Source organism: Homo sapiens, chromosome 14, assembly GCF_000001405.40.
Source record: "Homo sapiens chromosome 14, GRCh38.p14 Primary Assembly".
Taxonomy (NCBI): Eukaryota; Metazoa; Chordata; class Mammalia; order Primates; family Hominidae; genus Homo; species Homo sapiens.
The window spans coordinates 99,217,136-99,234,749 of NC_000014.9; the positions used below are offsets into that span (position 1 = coordinate 99,217,136).

Genomic DNA, 17,614 nt, shown 5'->3' on the forward strand with positions numbered 1-17,614 from the left:
AAATACGTATGTATATGCACACATATATACAAATATGTATATATACCCTCACATGTATACACATGCATGCTCACATATACACTCAGACATGTACACATATGCACATCCACACATACACATATGCTGACATATGCAAATACTCACATACAAACACACTCACAAATACATACACTTACATATACACGTGTACACGCATGCACATATATGCACATATACACTCTCACGAGTACAAATATACACACACATACAGACACACACACACACACACACACACACACACACGGCCTTTTATTACGGGTCTGTGCCAGGCCCAAGGACCCTGGCAGAGGCAATGGGAAAAACCAGGGAGAAAATTACATGAGGCAATGTTTGGCTCCAAATGAAAAAGCCGTGGAATGTTTTCCCTCAAGTCTTGGTTATTTCTTGCAGGTCCGCTCAGACCCTGTCAGGTCCACCTTATCCAGGGGGAACCCCCACCCCCTGGCCTCTGAGCTGAGCCAGCTGCTGTTCTCTCAATGCTACTGGCTTCCAGACTGGGGGTAGCCAGGACACCCCAGGCTCCAGCACCTACAGAAGCCACGGTAGGCTGGTGGAACACCTCTCCTCAAATGCATGCTCAGACAAATGGTGCTCAGAACTGGGCTCCTTAACCTCTGACCCCGCCGCCTGCCACCACCCCGTCCCCACAGGCTTCAGGTGTGCTCTGACTTGGTGACATCATCACATGCCAGTGGGCTCCGAACTCCACTCCCTGAAAACATGCACCATGTCTTAAAAGATGCAAACTAAAAATATTTCTGGCTTCTCAGAGCCAGTTTACAAAAATAATTATATTTTCTTTTAAAATCTGGATTATAGGCAAGTGTGTGTCCAGTTATTTTTAGCTCCTATTCAACTCTGTTAATTCTCATAATAATCATTGCAGGTTTTTTTTTTTTTTTTTTTTTTGAGACAGAGTCTCACTCTGTTGCCCAGGCTAGAGTGCAGTGGCGCGATCTCAGCTCACTTCAAGCTCCGCCTCCCAGGTTCACGCCATTCTCCTGCCTCAGCCTCCCAAGTAGCTGGGACTACAGGCACCCGCCACCATGCCTGGCTAATTTTTTTTTTTTTTTTTTTTTGTATTTTTACTAGAGACAGGGTTTCACCATGTTAGCCAGGATGGTCTCGATCCCCTGACCTCGTGATCCGCCCGCCTCGGCCTCCCAAAGTGCTGGGATTACAGGCATGAGCCACTGCGCCCGGCCACAGATTTTTTTAAGCCATCTCCCCGCCCTATCGTTAATAGTTGTGTTCTGACTCAGCATGGGGGCAGAGCTGGGGGCCACATGTGACCACACTGCCTTCCATAAACACAGAAGTCTGAGTGCTAGCCGAAGGGCCAGGCATTTCAGAATCACCACATTCCTGAGAAAAAAAGGAACATGTGTCCATCTTGTCAAAAGCCAGCTCCAGCTTCAATGCAGGAGACATTTGGGGAATCCCCTGTAAGTGCCTGAACCTGTCCCAGACCTCAGTTCACCGAGACCAGCTGGGTTTCCTGCCCTGGAAGGGCCTAGAATCCAGCAAGAGGCATGCAGAGAAGATTGGATGGAGCCACCTGAAATAAGCTGTCCACAGCTAGATCCCAGGACCTGTAAATGTGAGCTTATTTAGGGGCAAGGTCACTGCAGGTGTGACTAAGTGAAGGCTGTTGATGAGATCATTCTGGATGGTCTAGGTGGGTCCTGAATCCAAAGACAATTGTCTTTTTTATTTTAATTGTTCAGAAGAGAAGTCAAACCCAGAGGAGAAAGCTGTGTGCCCACAGAGGCAGGGAATCAGGGAGCACGGCCCTGCCGACCCCTCCATCTTGGACCTGTGGCCTCCCAAACTGTGAGAAAATACATTTCTTTTCTTTTTTTTATTTCTTCTTTTTTTTTTTTTGAGACAGGGTCTCACTGTGTTGCCCAAGGCTGGAGTGCAGTGGCACGATCTCGGCTCATGGCAGCCTCAACCTCCCTGGGCTCAAGGGCTCCTCCTGCCTCCACCTCCCCAGTAGCTGGGATTACAGGTGTATGCCACCATTCTTGGCTAATTTTTTTAGAGAATGGGTTTCGCCATGTTGCCCAGGCTGGTCTTGAACTGCTGGGCTCAAGAGATCCACCCACCTCAGCCTCCCAAAGTGCTGGGATTACAGGCGTGAGCCACCGCACCCGACCACAGAATCAATTTCTTATTGTCTTAGGCTACCCAGTCTGTGCCCATTTGCTACGGCAGCCCTGGGACACCAATACAGGACAATAGAGAGAAAGCACAACCACTAATAAGAATCATCGCAATTACCATCCCGATATACAAAGGACCCAAGGCCACTCCCTTGAGATTCCCTGTCCCCAGTCCCTCCCCGCCCAGCCAAGGAAGCAAAACCAGTGTGATGATTCCCATCAGGCAGGGAGACCCCACAAGGCTCAGAGAGGGCCAAAGCGTGCACAGGACACCGAGTGAGCTCTATCTCGCTCCTAGGGATTCTGATTCCAAATACGGGGCTCCTTCTGCTAAGTCACACTCAAATCAACACCCTGAAGACACAACAGAAAGAACAATGAAAATTGTCCATTTGTAGAATTTTCTTCCCCAAGCTATCAAGGTAGCTAAATGTTTAGCTTTGTTATAAAAAATAAAGATAAAAAATAAAAATTAAAAAAAAAAAAGCTGTCCTGGGAGACAGAACTGAGAACTGCCATGGGCAACCATTTCCAAGACAAAGGGGATTCAAGACCCTCAACTAAAATATACTGAAGGTGGTAGCCCCCAGCAGTCCAGTGGTGACTATAGGGCCACACCTAGGCTGGCTGAGGCTGGATTCAAACCGCCCTCAGGTTTATTACCCACCTAACTTGGACCAGTTGTTGCCACATCCCTGAGAGGCAGGTTCCTTGGCTATCAACTCCAACAGTCCAAAAAACACTAAAATTACCCAACAGTCAGATAAGGATGCGGAGAAATGAGAACCTCTGTGCACTGTTGGTGAGAATGTAAAACAGCGTAGCCACTATAGAAAACGGTTTGGCAATTCCTCAAAAAATTAAATATAGGATTACCCTTTGACGCAGAAACTCCACTTCCGCAGAAACTCCAAAAGAACTGAAAGCAAGGATTCAAACAGATTATTGTCCACCCACGTTCTTAGCTGTGCCATTCACAATAGCCAAAAGCAGCCCAACTGTCCATCAATGGATGGGTGGATAAGCAAAATGTGGTCTATCCATATGATAGAATATTATTCAGCCTCAAGAAGGAAGGAGATTGTAACACGTGCTACAACATGGATGGACCTCGAAGACACTATACTAAGTGAAATGAGCTAGGTACAAAAGGACAAGCACTGTATGATTCCACTTACCTAAGGAACCTAGAGTAGTCACATTCAGAGAGACAGAACGGAGAATGGGGGGCTGGGGAGAGGGGAAATGGGAAGTTAGTGTTTAATGGTGCCAGAGCTCTGTTTGGGATGATGGAAAAGCTCTGGAGATGGACGGTGGTGATGGCTGCATAACAATTGCAATGTACTTATTGCCACCGAACTGTGCACTTAAAAATTGTTAAAATGGTAAATCTAATGTTTATCTTACCACAATTAAAAAAACTCACAATCGAAGCATTGTGAGAATCACTGGAGATACACAGAAAGCCCACAGCACACAGTGGACCCTTGATCAATGGTATTTTTTATTTTATTTATTTTTTTTATTTTTAGACAGCATCTCGCTCTGTTGCCCAGGCTGGAGTGCAATGCTGTGATCTCGGCTCACTGCAACCTCCACCTCCCGGGTTCAAGCGATTCTCCTGCCTCAGCCTCCCAAGTAGCTGGGACTATAGGCGCCCGCCACCACGCCCAGCTACATTTTTTTATATTTTTAATAGAGATGGGGTTTCAACATGTTGGCCAGGATGGTCTTGATCTCTTGACCTTGTGATCCGCCTGCCTGCCTCAGCCTCCCAAAGTGCTGGGATTACAGGCGTGAGCCACCGCGACTGGCCTGATCAAAGGTATTTTTTAAGATTAAAATGTTAATAACTGAGTTGGCTAATAAAACCCAAGGAAATTCATGCAAAAGAACTTGAGTCAGAACTGGTTAAATACAACACCAAGAGCAGACTCACGCACCCAGTGGGCCTTGCCCCACTAGCTATTCCTCACTTCTTAACAAAGGCAATCATTTAAAATGTCCAGTTTTATGAAAAGATTCCAGCGGCCCCCGTTTCTGCAGGTACTGACTCCATTTTTGCATTCACCTCCCTGGAGAAGTCCTGAGCGCCACGATCCCTTCCTTGAGAATCATACAATACTGGCGTTCTAATTACCCGGGGCTCAGGCTGGCCCAGTGGCAGCTCTGTGATTCACAAGCTCACTCCTCTCCCTTGGCTGTTCCTACTCACACCTGCCAGGTACAAGGCCAGGCGGGAGGGGCAGGCCAGGACCAGACGCAAGGACAGGAGCAGGATGCCCACGTGGGCCCCAGGCTCGAGGAGGCTTGGATTCAAATCCCACCTGTGCCGTCCACCAGACGCGCAAGGAAAGCAATTTCGCATCTGCGAAAACCAGGAGCGGTCCTGTCACCTCTCACCTGTGAACTACAAGAGAAGCTGCCTGGAAAGCCCAAATTCAGAGCTGGGAGAGAAGGCCCCACCTGGGCACCCCATCGCAGTGAGTTCCTCTAGGGCAAGGACCCTGTCACGCCCATTTCTGGACCCTAGGGTCTAGCCCAGGGTCTGGCACATGTATGACCAGCGTATGAAGGAAGACCTGGGGGATCCTCCCGGGAACCATATCTGAGTTTGATCTGGTTTCCCTGGCATAATGCTGGGCCCCACAGAGGGACCCCTGCCCACCGAGGGTTCCGTCCCACTGCTTTTTGGGTAAAAGTGGCCAGCCTTGATTATGTTTGAATAAACTGTATCTCATGGTTTAGACTATTTGGGTTTAATTGTAAAATATACACAGAACACAGCCCCTCCACCCCGACCCTGCCCTCAGGTTCGAAAAGTCAAGTACATTTTGTTCCCCTCTCCCCGCACCATAAAAACAACAAAGAACACCTCAAGCTTTTTTAAGGGCTATTATTTCTTTCGCTCCCCAGTGGGGGAAAAAAAATGGATTCCACTGTCCTGTGTACAAAAACAAGGAGGATGCTCATACAAGAATGTGGCTAGCAGCGTTTTCTGTGTTTCCTCTTTCTCTCACAGGTGTAGACACTGCCTTTTCTGAGTCTTCATCATCCCCCAGCATCTCCTGGGCACCTGCTGGGACTCATCCCCGCCCCAGCCACTGGAGAGACAGAGATGAGCCTGGTCGAGGAAATCGACTTGGTTAAGGCTGGCGTGGGACCACATGCCAAGTCCCTGACTCCCAGTCAGAACCCCAAAACCCAATTTGAGGTGATCCGATGAGAAAATCTCGCTCATGCTCTAGCCCTCTTCTTCAAGGTCAAAACTGCCTTCTGGTGGACTGAGGATCGGTGACTTTGTTTCCCTCTATGTCCAGCCAGGGCTGGAGGAAGCTTGTTGTCAGCAGGCCCCTTCCCAGAAGACACCACATCCACACCTGTCACTGCCCACAGTGACTGGACCCTCAGCCTCAAGTTCCCCGGTGGTAAAACCCCTGTAGATCTCCCAACCCTCCAGGCTCCTGTAAGCCCAGCCCTTTAATTTCTTTATTTCCCTTTCTTTCTTTCTTTCTTTCTTTCCTTCTTTCCTTCCTTTCTTTCCTTTCTTTCTTTCTCTTTCTCTCTTTCTGTCTGCTACAAGTAAACTTTATTTGATGTAATGTAATACAACATTTTCAAGTTTCACAATGAGCGTTTGACATAAATAATCATTTAAATTAGGAATATAAGTATGCACGGTCACTTGAGCAAATTTGCAGTTCAGGGGTTGGTACGAGCTTTGTCTGAAAGCTTTTTTCTCCTTTAGGAAAAAGTAGCCCTTCCCTTCACCTGGTAAGAAGCACTATCAATGGGAGTTAGAAGAAGTCCATAATCCACCTTGGAATTCCAGCTGATCTGTGAGAGGACAGCTTTCTGTATTCTAGAAAAATAATATTCTCTTTCAGTTCATTCATTTTTCCCCATGGAAGATATTGGCACTCTCTTCATCTACTGTCTTTCTGTCTCCTTAGCTGCTGCTTATTACATAGAACCATTTTTTAAAAATATAATATCTGCAAAGAGACCTCTTCTGTTCCCTTACCTCCCCTAATGTCTATTATTTTGTGGAGAGGGTAGGGTGGTGGGAGCCAGGGGCCAGAATTGCTTAGACACACATTTGATCTCAGGTACAGAGAACACAAATTCTCTGGAAGGAACCCCATGGGGGTCGGGAGCATTTTCCAAGAGTGGTCCAGGTGACCTTCAATTCACACAATTCTGTTTAATACGGCGCTGCTCCATGAGGATGAGCATATGTATGCCCCATTTCCAGAAACAGCACCACCTTTCATGGAAAACCCATTACTCTCTCGCTTCTTCCACATAACATGCGGTTATGGACCAGCCATGGGCCCAATGCACCACTGGATAAAATGAGAGTCAAAAACACGCCAATAATCACGTGGATTCCAATGCAGTCAGGCACCACTTGTGCTTCATTCAGGTAAAAATCCTCACAGAAGGTACCCCCCACCTCTCAGCAATGCGACCACAAGGACAAGCTGTCCTCAGGTGGGACACCTCTCCATCCTGAGATCTGCTCTTGAGCTGCACCATGGCAATAAGTGAGGGAGCACCCGAGCAGCAGCCAATTGATTCATTTTTTTCAAACAGAGAAAGGCGCCATGGGGACATGCATTTCACATCCACTGAGTGAGAAGGCCCTCCATGGGCACCCCCACCACGGTGAGTTCCTCTAGGGCAAGGACCCCGTCATGCCCATTTCCGGATCCCTCAGTCCAGCCCAGGGTCTGGCACAAGGATGACCAGTGCATGAAGGAAGACCTTCAGGACCCTCCCAGGTACCATATCAGAGTTTGATTTGGTTTTCTACCAGCAGCTCCTTCTCTGTTGTCCACTACAGCCCAGTGGGAAGCCAGACGGGAGAGCTCCAAGTACAGCTGGGAGGCTGGCCAGACCTGAGTCTGAATCTCTGTTTTGAGACTCTCTGTCCAAGTTCTGCTATTTGTGTGCTGTGTGACCCCTGGTGGGTTGTGTGGCCTCTCTGAGCCCCAATATCCTCATAAGCAAAAGGGTGGGGGAGTGCCTCTTCTTGGGAGCGTTACAACGATGAGATGTCATGCCTAGGACTGAGCCGGCCCTTTAGCAAACAGTGGCAAGCCCCAGGAACACTGATGATGTTGGCCCTTCCTCTGCCTTCATTCACACTAAGAAACTCTCCCAGGCAAGTGGCTTTCCAAGAGCTAAGTCGTCACTGGGGTGCCGATTACCCAAGGCCAGAGTCTCACAAGGCTTTCCGGCATCTCAGCTTTCTCCCTCCTTCCCTTCCCACCGGCCTTTTCCCTCTGATTCCCCCAGGTGCTGGTCATGGGCTGTGGCCACGCCCAGATGGTAGCTGTTCATGGGACCTGCCAGTAGAGGGATGGTAAGCAAGTACTTCAGTGTCCCCATTTTACAGGTGGGGACACTGAAGATTGGAGAGAGGAAGTAAGTGGCTAGCCTGGGATCACATACTCACTCCCATTCACTGCAAGGGAAGGACCGAGGATGGCCCCATCTCGAGAGCTTCCCACAATGCCTGCAGTCTAACACGGGTCCACAATGACATTTAACTTCAAACACACATCCATGCCACAGAGCCCCACAGGGACAGGGCAGCCAGCTGTCAAAGCACAACCCCAGAGTCTCAAACCCAGGATGTGTCTGGTGGGCTCCCACTGCAGATAGCAGAGCTGAAGTCCAAGGCACCCAACGTGGGGCTCCTCAACATCAGAGCTCTACCTGCTACCAATCTCATTGCAGGGTTCACACCAAGCCTCATGGTCAGGCAGAAATCAATCTTTAAGTGGCTTCCACTGGGCGACGAACTTCCTTTTCTGGTTTTCAATAAAAACTCAAGAGAGGTAGTATGGCCTAGTGGGCAGACCCAGGTATGAGTCAGCTCTGCCACCCATGTGTCATGGCTTCATCCCCACTCTCTGCCTTGGTTTCCCCATTTATATAATGAAGAGGTTGGAGGAGATGATCTCTTGGGATCCCTGGTCTTAGATTGTTATAGACTGACTTGACCTCAGGTCACCCGAGAAGAACCCATTTCTGGGCCAGTCCGCTCCACACAGAGGGCAATGCAAGCCTCCTCTGCCACTTTCCGAGTCCCTTTAAAGGAGAACGGGGCTGCCTTGCTCTGAGGTCTCTGATGTCCTTGGCCAGTGCTGCTTCTTCACATCCACTAACTGCTTGAAAGCGCTGCATCCAGCACTGCATTAAAAATTAATTACACATGCTATCTTATTGCCAGTGCATAATGTAATGAGCACCAGCTGTGCTAAACAGCCAAACTCCTTTTTAAGACAGCTATTAAAAAAAAAGGGAAAAAAAGAAAGAAAGAAAGAAACTGCACTTCCAAATGCCTCTCCTGTCAGAGCAGAAAAACAGCAACATCTTGTATGGATTTGAACAGAATTCTTTGATTTAGCTCTGCCTTCAGAACGTCTGAAGGGCCAACTCAGAGAGTGAAATGGAATCTGGCGAGGCTGCAGCGATCTCCACTCAGGGATTTGCTGGGGCCTCTTTTATCTAAGGACAGTCATGCTGGTAGGTGCCCCAACTGGGGGGCTTCCCCCAACTGGGGGGCTTGCAGCTCTCCATGGCTTCTCCTGGCACTTCCTCCGGTCACAGAAAGAGGCGTCTGGGTTCTCAAGGCAGTCGGGCATGGACAGCCTCTGCAGCAGCGTGACCTCAAGAAGCAGGCAGGTGCTAGGGTGGAATCAACAGCGCTTGCACGCCAGGAAGAGCAACAGCACTGTGAAGGCTGGGTTGCAGATGCTGGGACCACCGGCCCTTGGGCGATGTAGACATTGCAAGGCATACAGATGACTCTCTAAATTTTTAATAACTCCCCTGAAAGCCCTTTTCCTACATGGAGCCAGCCCCCATCAACACTAGGACCTGTCTGGTTAGCCCAGAAGGATCCTAACAACAAACGTTACTTTGCAAAGGGAATCCCATGAGCATGTTTTCCAACCTTCCCACGACGGAGCTCTGCTGTCCACACACGCTCACTCACACGGTTCTTTTTTTGTCTTCACCCCCATACTCACCCCTCCCTCCAGTCTCAGTGGCCGATCTAACACCCTCCTGGAGTGTCTCTGGCACCCCCTGCACCAGAATCAAGGCGACGCATCAGCAGGGGCCTGGTGAGGCTACCATCTCTGTCCGTATCACCGTTTGGCTTCCCATGGATCCTCCGGTGTTAATCGAACCCAGTCCAGAATGAAACTACAGCTTGCTTCTTGTTTGGTATGAAATGTGCAAAGCACAGACCATATCATTAACACAAAACTTCCAGAAATAAGGCCACTTTCCAGGCAGACTGCATTAATTGCATCAGGCTTCCACAGCTAGCGTGGTCTAATCCACGGCGCCCCATTGGACGGCTCTGGTTATAAAACCAACACAAAATGAACACTGGGATATAATTGAAGGAGGAGAAAAGGATAGATTCTATGGTTAAACCCTACTATTTACTTACAGGTATTCTTTTATCTTTATTGTCCCTTTAACCCATGCCAAGAAACCCCAGACTAGTTAAATAACACAGCAAGCACAATTTCAGTAGAAAAGTAAATTGAATTTAACTTTACAAGATTGCCCTGTGATTTCAGCATATACTAATGACTGCAACTGACTCCCTCTATTAAAGCCAAACACTTCCACTTCCCTGAGCTGGGATCCTGTGTGTTCTTGTGTGAGACCTTGAACTTCACCAAGTACACATATTAATCACTGTGGCTGATGACCATTTGCAGCTTTTAAATATGCAATGAAGTGTCTCAGTTCCTATTCCACCTCCCAAAGCTGGTACATGATCTGAGCCAGCCAAAAGGCTAAATACTTTTAAGAATGGAAAGCGAAGATCCAGCTTGAAGTGAGACCTGACAGAGTCTCAATGTCGTGAATCCCATTCCGCTCGTGCATGGACTCTAACTTCGACAGGGCTCACTCAGCACATGGTGTTGTTCTCAGCACCTGGCCCGTATGATCTCACACGATCCCCAGAACGACCCTTCAGAGCCTGTCCTATCCTTAGCTCCATTTTATAGATGGGGAAACTGAGGGATGGAGAGGGGAAATGACTACATGGGGCAGAACAGCCTTCACCCCCAAGCAGTCTCATACACTTGACCACCGCTTTCCAATCATGGAAGCCTCAGAACAGGGAAGGATTCTGGCATGCGGGGCACAAAGCCCAGGAGTGTCCAAACCATTCTCTGAATGTCCCACGCCCTGCCCTGGAAACCTAGCTAGCCCCATGCTCACTCCACCCACAGCAGCTCCACACTGACCTGTCTCAGAAAATAACACGAGCCTCGTTTTCAAATGTTGCATACATACACATATACATACATACGTGTATTTTTACAGAAGGGGAAACTGAGGCAATGACTTCTTTAGGGCCCCTGGCCAGCTGAAGCACAGACCAGGAACACAGTCTGAGGCTCTTGACCCCACAGCCACTGTGCCAAATCCTCTATGTGAAATTTCTCAGGGAAGAAATTTCAGTTCCCAGGAACGCCTAGACTCAAAGCCCCACCTTCCTTCAGCAGAGTCAAAAAGAGTCAGGACCCCCGAGTCCCTTCTCCCCACTGCGACCATTGGAAAGAGGTCTAGGGTTGGGGTCCCGGGAGGCAGGGCCCCCTGGGATGCTGCCAGCCCAGGGTGTGCACAAACACACATACCTGTGTGGTTTTCTCCCCCCGTAAAATCACATCCTTCTATAAATAACTGCAGATGCGGTAACAGGCACGCAATTAACCTGTGTGAAACACGTTTACACTGGGGTTCTCCATGTTAACTTGAAGAGATGGGTTCAATGCATCCTGATCCGAAAAGGGACAAAACCAGGTAAGGACAGCAGGCCCATTCCATCTTTACAAAGGCCTGCTTCTTCCTAACGGGTTACTGGGAACTTAATGACTCCATTCCAACTACTAATTAAACAGGCACTAAAAACACTTAAGCAAACAGCCCAGTGCCAGGGACACAAATCACAAAGGGACAAAAAACACCAGAATAGGATAGTTTCAGGTATTCAAATTGATCGGGAAACATGGTGGTGCAAGCTGGTGAGGGCCAATGAACTGGGACCGAATGAAAAAAGAGAACTGTACCAGACATGGTGGCAGAGGGCAGGAGGTAAGAGCAGGCCCCTTAGAAGGGTCTCCTGGAGCAGTCCTAGGGGCTCAGCCTCCTGCAGTCCCAGCCCCAGGAACAGGACACTGCCCTTCCTCACGTCCCTCCCAGAGCACTGCAATCAAGCACTGGTTGCTCACAGGCTCTGAGTCCTGGCAGCTCTCAAGGCCTAAAATCTAAAAAGGCCTTTAATGCCAGAAGAAGAGCCAAAGCCAAAGATGTGGCAGGTGCTGGATGGAGAGCCTGGGATCAAATCCCACCTCCACCACTCCCTCCCTCCCTGCTCCTCCTTCCCCTTCTGCAGGTCCCCACTCCCTGTCCTCCCCACCACCAGACTGCAAGCTGCACGAGGGCAGGGACCTGCCTGCCGACTCTTCCTGTGTGTGCACAGTGCTACAAGCTAGGTGCCTTCCAAATGGCTTCAAGCTAAAGAATGAATAAATGGATGGATGGATGGATGGATGAACGGATGGGTGGATGGATGGATGCATGGATGGATGCATGGATGGATGGATGGCTACATGGATGAATGGATGGATGGATGGATGGATGGATGGATGGATGGATGCATGGATGGATGGATGGATGGATGGATGGATGGATGGATGGATGGATAGATGGATGGATGGATGGATACAGGGATGAATGGATGGATGGATGGATGGATGGATGGATGGATGGACGGACGGATAGACGTGAGCTGTGAGAACTCAACATCTCTGAACATCATTTTCTCATCTGCAAAGTGAGGAGAATAAAGTATTAGGGTTGCTGTGAGGGTTAAATTCAAGAAGGCACACATGCCCAGCACAATGCAGCACATAGCAGGCCCTCCATACACAGTCCTCATAAGGATCCTAGTGGCATGTATGAGGACTTGCTGATGGCAGAGCCCCCCAGAGCCAAGGCAGTGGAAAGCTCATTCGACCTCCCGTGGATGTCGGCAGAGGCAGCGTGGCTCCACAGGAAGAGGGGTGGCCTTTCAGGAGGCAACCAAGGACAAATCCCAGTTCTGCCACCCTGGCTAGCCACTCTCCCTCCCCAAGCCCTTGCTTCTCCATCTGCAAAATGGGGATGGTAACAGCTCCTGGTCAGCACCATACAAAGATGCTAAGCAGGCCTGGCCACATGAGGGAGCGGCTCAGTCCTCTAGCTGAGTCTCATCTACTTCAGCAACTTCTAAGTAGGGCCAACAGAGGGTTAAGCAAAGCCCTGGGTGAGCCTCTGGTGAGATCAGATTTCTGTGCCACGGAACTTGACCGCGTCCAGTAATAAACACTCAGGCTGATCTTCGATAGCATGGCCCCCCCAGTGGTTGCCGAGGCTGCAGCGCTAATGACAGGAAGCCACGAGAGCAAGGCAACCACCCAGACAGAGCAGGCACCCCCTGCTCAGCAAGCAGGGCCTTCCACAGACTCACAGAACAGATCTACTGAACCAGGACAGGAGGCCTGAGCACCTGGGGACCAGCACAGCCCAGAAAAGGGAGCCGGCGTCTTTGCAAGTGGTTCCGACTCCTTCCCAGGAGATTTTGGGTTTTGCTTTGTGCCTTTAAGGCACAAGTCCAGTAAGAAACCAGAACTCCCTTTTGGAAGCCAGATCCTATGATGTCACCACCTGTCACAGCAGGGAGGGTACACTAAAGCTCCAGGCCACCCTACTAGGGAGCTCTGGAGCCCAGGAAGCTCTGGACCCTGGAGCAGGGGCTGCCTGTGGCCTTTTACAGAGCTGTGGCCATGGCTTTTGCAGAGCTGTGGCTCCATCAGGGACCGCCTGTGGGGACAGCTTCAATTAAAAACACAACCTGCCCAATAAAAATAGTTTTCCTTTCACAATTCAAGTCGAGAGAAAGCCTGCAACATGCCTGGTGACAAAGCAGGGACCAATCAAATCTGCCCCAGCTCTGCACCCCCCTTCTCCTTTCCTGCCCCTGCCACAGAAACCAGGCCACGGCTGCTCACCACATGTGTCTGTGTCAGCATCCTGGTTTGCGTGGCCACAGTGCTTTCACGCCAGGCCCTGCCGAGATGCCGGGGGGACAGACTTGTGAGAGGGCCCTTTGCCCTTGAATTCCCAAGGACCCCAAGGATTCCCAGAGACCCTAGGCAGAATAAGATCTTGGGTTCCACTTGGGGAGAAGCAGGGCAGGTAGAGGCCAGTTTGTGTCACCACACCGGCCCATCTGCCCATCTGTAGAATGGGCAGCCACACCGCCCGCCCGGGAGAGCAGGATGAGTCGGCACAAACAGCTGTGTCTGGGTCTGGCCCAGAGCCGGACGCACAGCAGGTACTCAGCCCCCGCCCCCACCCCTCACACACCTCACAGTGTTTCACTCCCTCTCGTGGCCACAGCTTTTTAAGAGGCTCCTTTTGAGCCACTTTTTTTCTTTTTCAAAGCTAATGGGCAACACATTCTCCCAAAGAGAAACTCAGCATTTTGGACGGCTCCAGCAATGTACACAGTCAACCAAGGAATCTTCCCCTAGCCTGGTCTTGGCGGGGCAGGGGATTGTCTGGGGTGGGGGAGGGGGTGGCAGTGGCAAGGGCCGAAGAAAACCTCAGATGTTAAGTGTTATCCAATTAAGCTGTCGCTAAACAACCCAAAGAAGCGGGATTGGGAGGCTGGGGAATGCATTCTGGGAGCAAGACTCTCAGAACGGGTGGGGGCACCGTGGGGGACTCCTGACCGAGGGGCACCGGGCCCTGGCTCATAGTTCAGCGAACATTCTTTACCACTTCCCCTGGCACCCCAAAAAGCCTTCTGGGTGGGAGCTGCCCTTCCTCCCTGGGTCCCCACCTTGCTCCAGCGCTGCCCATGGCACACCCCGCCATCCCGGGGGCCCGCCCCCCACCGCGGCGTCGTCTGTTACCTGACAACTGACACTGGCATCCAAAGGGAGCCTCCGTCTGACCCTCACCCTGAGTCCCGTCACCCGAGACCGGGCGCGCGCTGCAGCACGGCAGGGGGAGGCAGGGCGGGAGAGCGCCCAGGGCACGCAGAGGTGAAGTGATCACGGATGAGTGAGGGTGGGAGGAGGCAGCTATGGGGGCCACCGCTGGCAGCTGGGCAGGCCTGCACGGCCCTGGAGAAAAAACAATAGAAAAGACTGGTCAGTCGGGCCCTGGACTGTGTGAGGGGCACGGGGTGGGACGGGGCTCGGGGCGTGGGGCTCTGCTCAGGCCACCCTTCGGGGGTGGGAGGCCCCCGGGGTGCCAGGCCCTGCAGGGAAGGCAATCGGGACACAGGCGAGGGAATGGGCTCGGGGAGGTGGGCAGGGGGCACTGGGGAGGGCCCGGTTTCCACAGCTGCCAGGCTGGGCTGTCGGGGAGGCAGGACCCCGCCTCTGGGGGCCTGGTGCAGGGGGCTGGGTGAACGGGGGCTGTGAGGACCCACTCTCAGGAAGGACCCCCCACGTGGGGGCCTCTGGAGCAATCAAATAGGTTCCATTTGGGGATTTGTTTCCAAAACTTCGGGCTACCCCTCCCTGGAAGAGCTGGGAAGCTCACAGCCTCCCCTGTTTGCTGTATCAGGATGGGCTGTTCCTACAGGCCCGGGACACCTTGGGTCCGCCTCCAGCCTTGGGTCCGCCTCCAGGTGTCTGGGCTCTGTTAGCCTCCTGTCTGGCAGACCACCAGCTGGGGGCTCTCTCCAGCCCCAAGCACTGAGCGTGCTGCACCCAAAACGCAATGCCCTTCAGAAGGCTTTCACACCCCCCTACCACACCCCAAGAAAACCCTGGCGCTGCTCACCCCCTCCTAACGTCTCGGCCTGGCTTGGGAGGCCTCCCGCCATGTGACAGCAAGGACACAGGGCCAGGGCCGGCCCCGCCTCTGCCCAGCCCCACAGCTCGCTCAGCTCCACAGCAAGGCCTGCATTTGATTTAGCCGTTTATCTTAAATGGCTAAGAGACCACCAGGGCAAAACATTTGTGTGAAGCCCTTGCCAAAACCACAAGTGAAGAAGCCCAAATTCCCTGGGTAAATAATTGAGCAGGGAAGCATCAGAGAGACAAAAAGGAAACGTCAACAAGAGGATGGGCAGCTGGGCCCAGCCGGCTTTGCCAGGGAGGCCCAGCACAGGTCTGCACGGGTGGGAGTCTGCCCACTCCAGGGCCCCCACGTGGATTCCCCCATCGCAAGGAGAGCCACAGGACCCTGCAAGCCACCAGGAGCCAGGAGCCTGTCAGTCTTCATTGGACTGAACTTCCTAACACACTGACGGGAACTGGGGCTTAGAATACCCATTGCACAGACCAGGAAACTGATGGCGTGACTGCAGAAAACTGCAGACATCAGCAGCCCCATCCAAACCCCAGCTGTCTGGCCCCAGAACCAGGGCTCTTTCTCTGTAGCCCTGGTTTCTCTAAAACATGGGTTATCCAGGATCAAGGCATCAGGGCATTTAAGAAGACCCCCTGCTTAGGGATTGCAAGCTGTCAGTGTCCTGTCAAGAGGTCAAAGCTAACACCAACACTGCTCGGAACCCCCTGAACCAACAAAGACCTCATACTAGGTGAGGCCTCGGGCCCAGGGTATTTCTGAGCTGGGGATAGCCCTGGAAGGATGTGGCTGAGGAACCAGTAAACAGTTTCAGCCTCAGATGCTGAGGGGAAGGCCATGCTAGATTTAGTGCCATCCCTCAAGGAAGGTCAGGACCTGCCTCCTCCTGGAAGCCTGCCCTAGCCTGAACCTTCCAGCACTGGACACTGCATTTGATCCTGTCCACTGGTGGTCTCAAATCCCTATGTAGGCCTTCCCTGCAGACCACCGAGGGCTCTGGGTCATCCATCATCATGACAGCCACCTCGCTCAGAAAAGATCCACATTCCACTGGGGGAAAACTGAGGCTTAGGGAGATCTGAGACTGGAACCCAGTTGTGTCCCCGAAGCCCGCAATGCTCTGCTTCCCTCTAGGGCTGCAGCTGGGTAAGTGACCAGGGGTCCTGGGATCTCTAGAGCAACGGCCACATAGTGGGCGGAAGTCTGAGATCCCTGGGCTCAATCCAGCCATTGGAAGCTGCAAAGGCCAAACCCAGGCTCTGGTTCCTGGGTTCTGGGTGAGGCCACGACACAGCCAGCACCATTTATCACTACTGAGAAACCAGCAGAAGCAGCTCGAGGCCTGGTAAGGGTTGTCCCAGGTGCTAAGAAGCTGACTCTGTCTCCGTGGTGGGAGGAACCGTTGCAGAGCAGGTAGAAAACAGGCATCTGGCCACACCCTTCTCCTGGAAACGTCCAAGGTGGGGCTCAGACCAGGGTCTGTAAAGGCGATGTCACACACCACACGTTGTTCCCTGCATAGGGGTCAGGGGGTAGGCCGCCCTGGACAGGTTTCCCCAGAGTCTCATTAGCAATTGTGACCTTGCTGAAGTCCACCTGCTCCAGGGACCGGCTCAACTGAGGCAGGGGAGGGGGGCAGCCGGGAGAGGGGCTTCAAATCCCAAGCTCTACAGGGCCTCTCTGGGGCTCCCAGAGCACCTTCTACACTGGGAGAGGTTTCCACACGGGGCAGCTCAAACCCAGAGCCCTTCCCAAGGGTGGAACTCAAGAAATCTGAAGCTACTGCAAAAGCCCAAAGTGATGAAAGGAGCCACCTACGGCATGACTCCATGGATACGAAATGTTCATAAGAGGCAAATCCACGGACACAGAAAGTAGCAGTTGCCAGGGGCTGGGGGGAGCCAGTAGGGGTGTGAGGGGTGGCTAATGGGCACAGAGTTTCTTCGGGGGGTGATGAAAATGCTCGGGACTTAGACAGGAGTGACGGCTGCACGACATTGTGAATAGATCCAAAACCACTGATTGTACACTTTAAAATGGTCAATTGTACATCATGTGACTCTTACCTCAACTTGAAAAAACAGCCTCAGTACCTGTCCCAGGCTACCTCCCAGCCCCCATCCTTCCTCAGAGGAGGGGTATTTGCCTTTAAAAGTGAAGCTGGGAAATCCAGAAAGCACTTAAGGAGCGCTTGAGATGTGGGACAGGGTATGCACCCACACACGCACAGAGGAAGCCACCAGAGCTCCCAGGCCGCACAGCCTTGAGGACCGAGAGGACTGGATTCAAATTCCTCCTCGGCTGTCTCCTGGCCTCGTGACTGAAGGTGAGTCACTTTCTCAGAGCCTCAGCTCCCTCAACTTTAAAGGAAGGGTCAGGTCAGCCCTGAGCCAGAGCCGGAGATCCAGGAAACTCACCAAACGGTCACTATCATTCTCTTGCTTTCCATTCTGAAACTTTCCCCACTCCCTATGGTCCTTTCCAAGGCATCATCG

At 51.7% G+C, this 17,614-nt stretch overlaps 1 protein-coding gene across 6 annotated transcripts in view, besides 1 other annotated feature; it reads right to left on the bottom strand.

Moving 5' to 3' along the window:
* The window catches only part of BCL11B (BCL11 transcription factor B), a 102,911-nt gene that overhangs the window by 47,849 nt on the left and 37,448 nt on the right, over positions 1-17,614 (bottom strand). For 4 of the 6 annotated variants that reach the window (XM_047431708.1, NM_001282237.2, NM_138576.4 and 1 more), the window contains one exon: positions 14,210-14,422. The exons of the other annotated variants lie outside the window; for them this stretch is intronic. In XM_047431708.1, coding sequence (XP_047287664.1) covers positions 14,210-14,422 — 213 coding nt within the window. The remainder of the gene's footprint in view (positions 1-14,209; positions 14,423-17,614) is intronic. 6 annotated transcript variants of the gene reach the window in all.
* Positions 12,204-13,102: an enhancer, noted in NCBI's record as "H3K27ac-H3K4me1 hESC enhancer chr14:99695676-99696574 (GRCh37/hg19 assembly coordinates)". NCBI's record gives its function as "activates a minimal SCP1, AML or CMV promoter by ChIP-STARR-seq in primed H9 embryonic stem cells {active_cell/tissue: H9 hESC(primed)}" and the evidence as "EXISTENCE:reporter gene assay evidence [ECO:0000049][PMID:30033119]".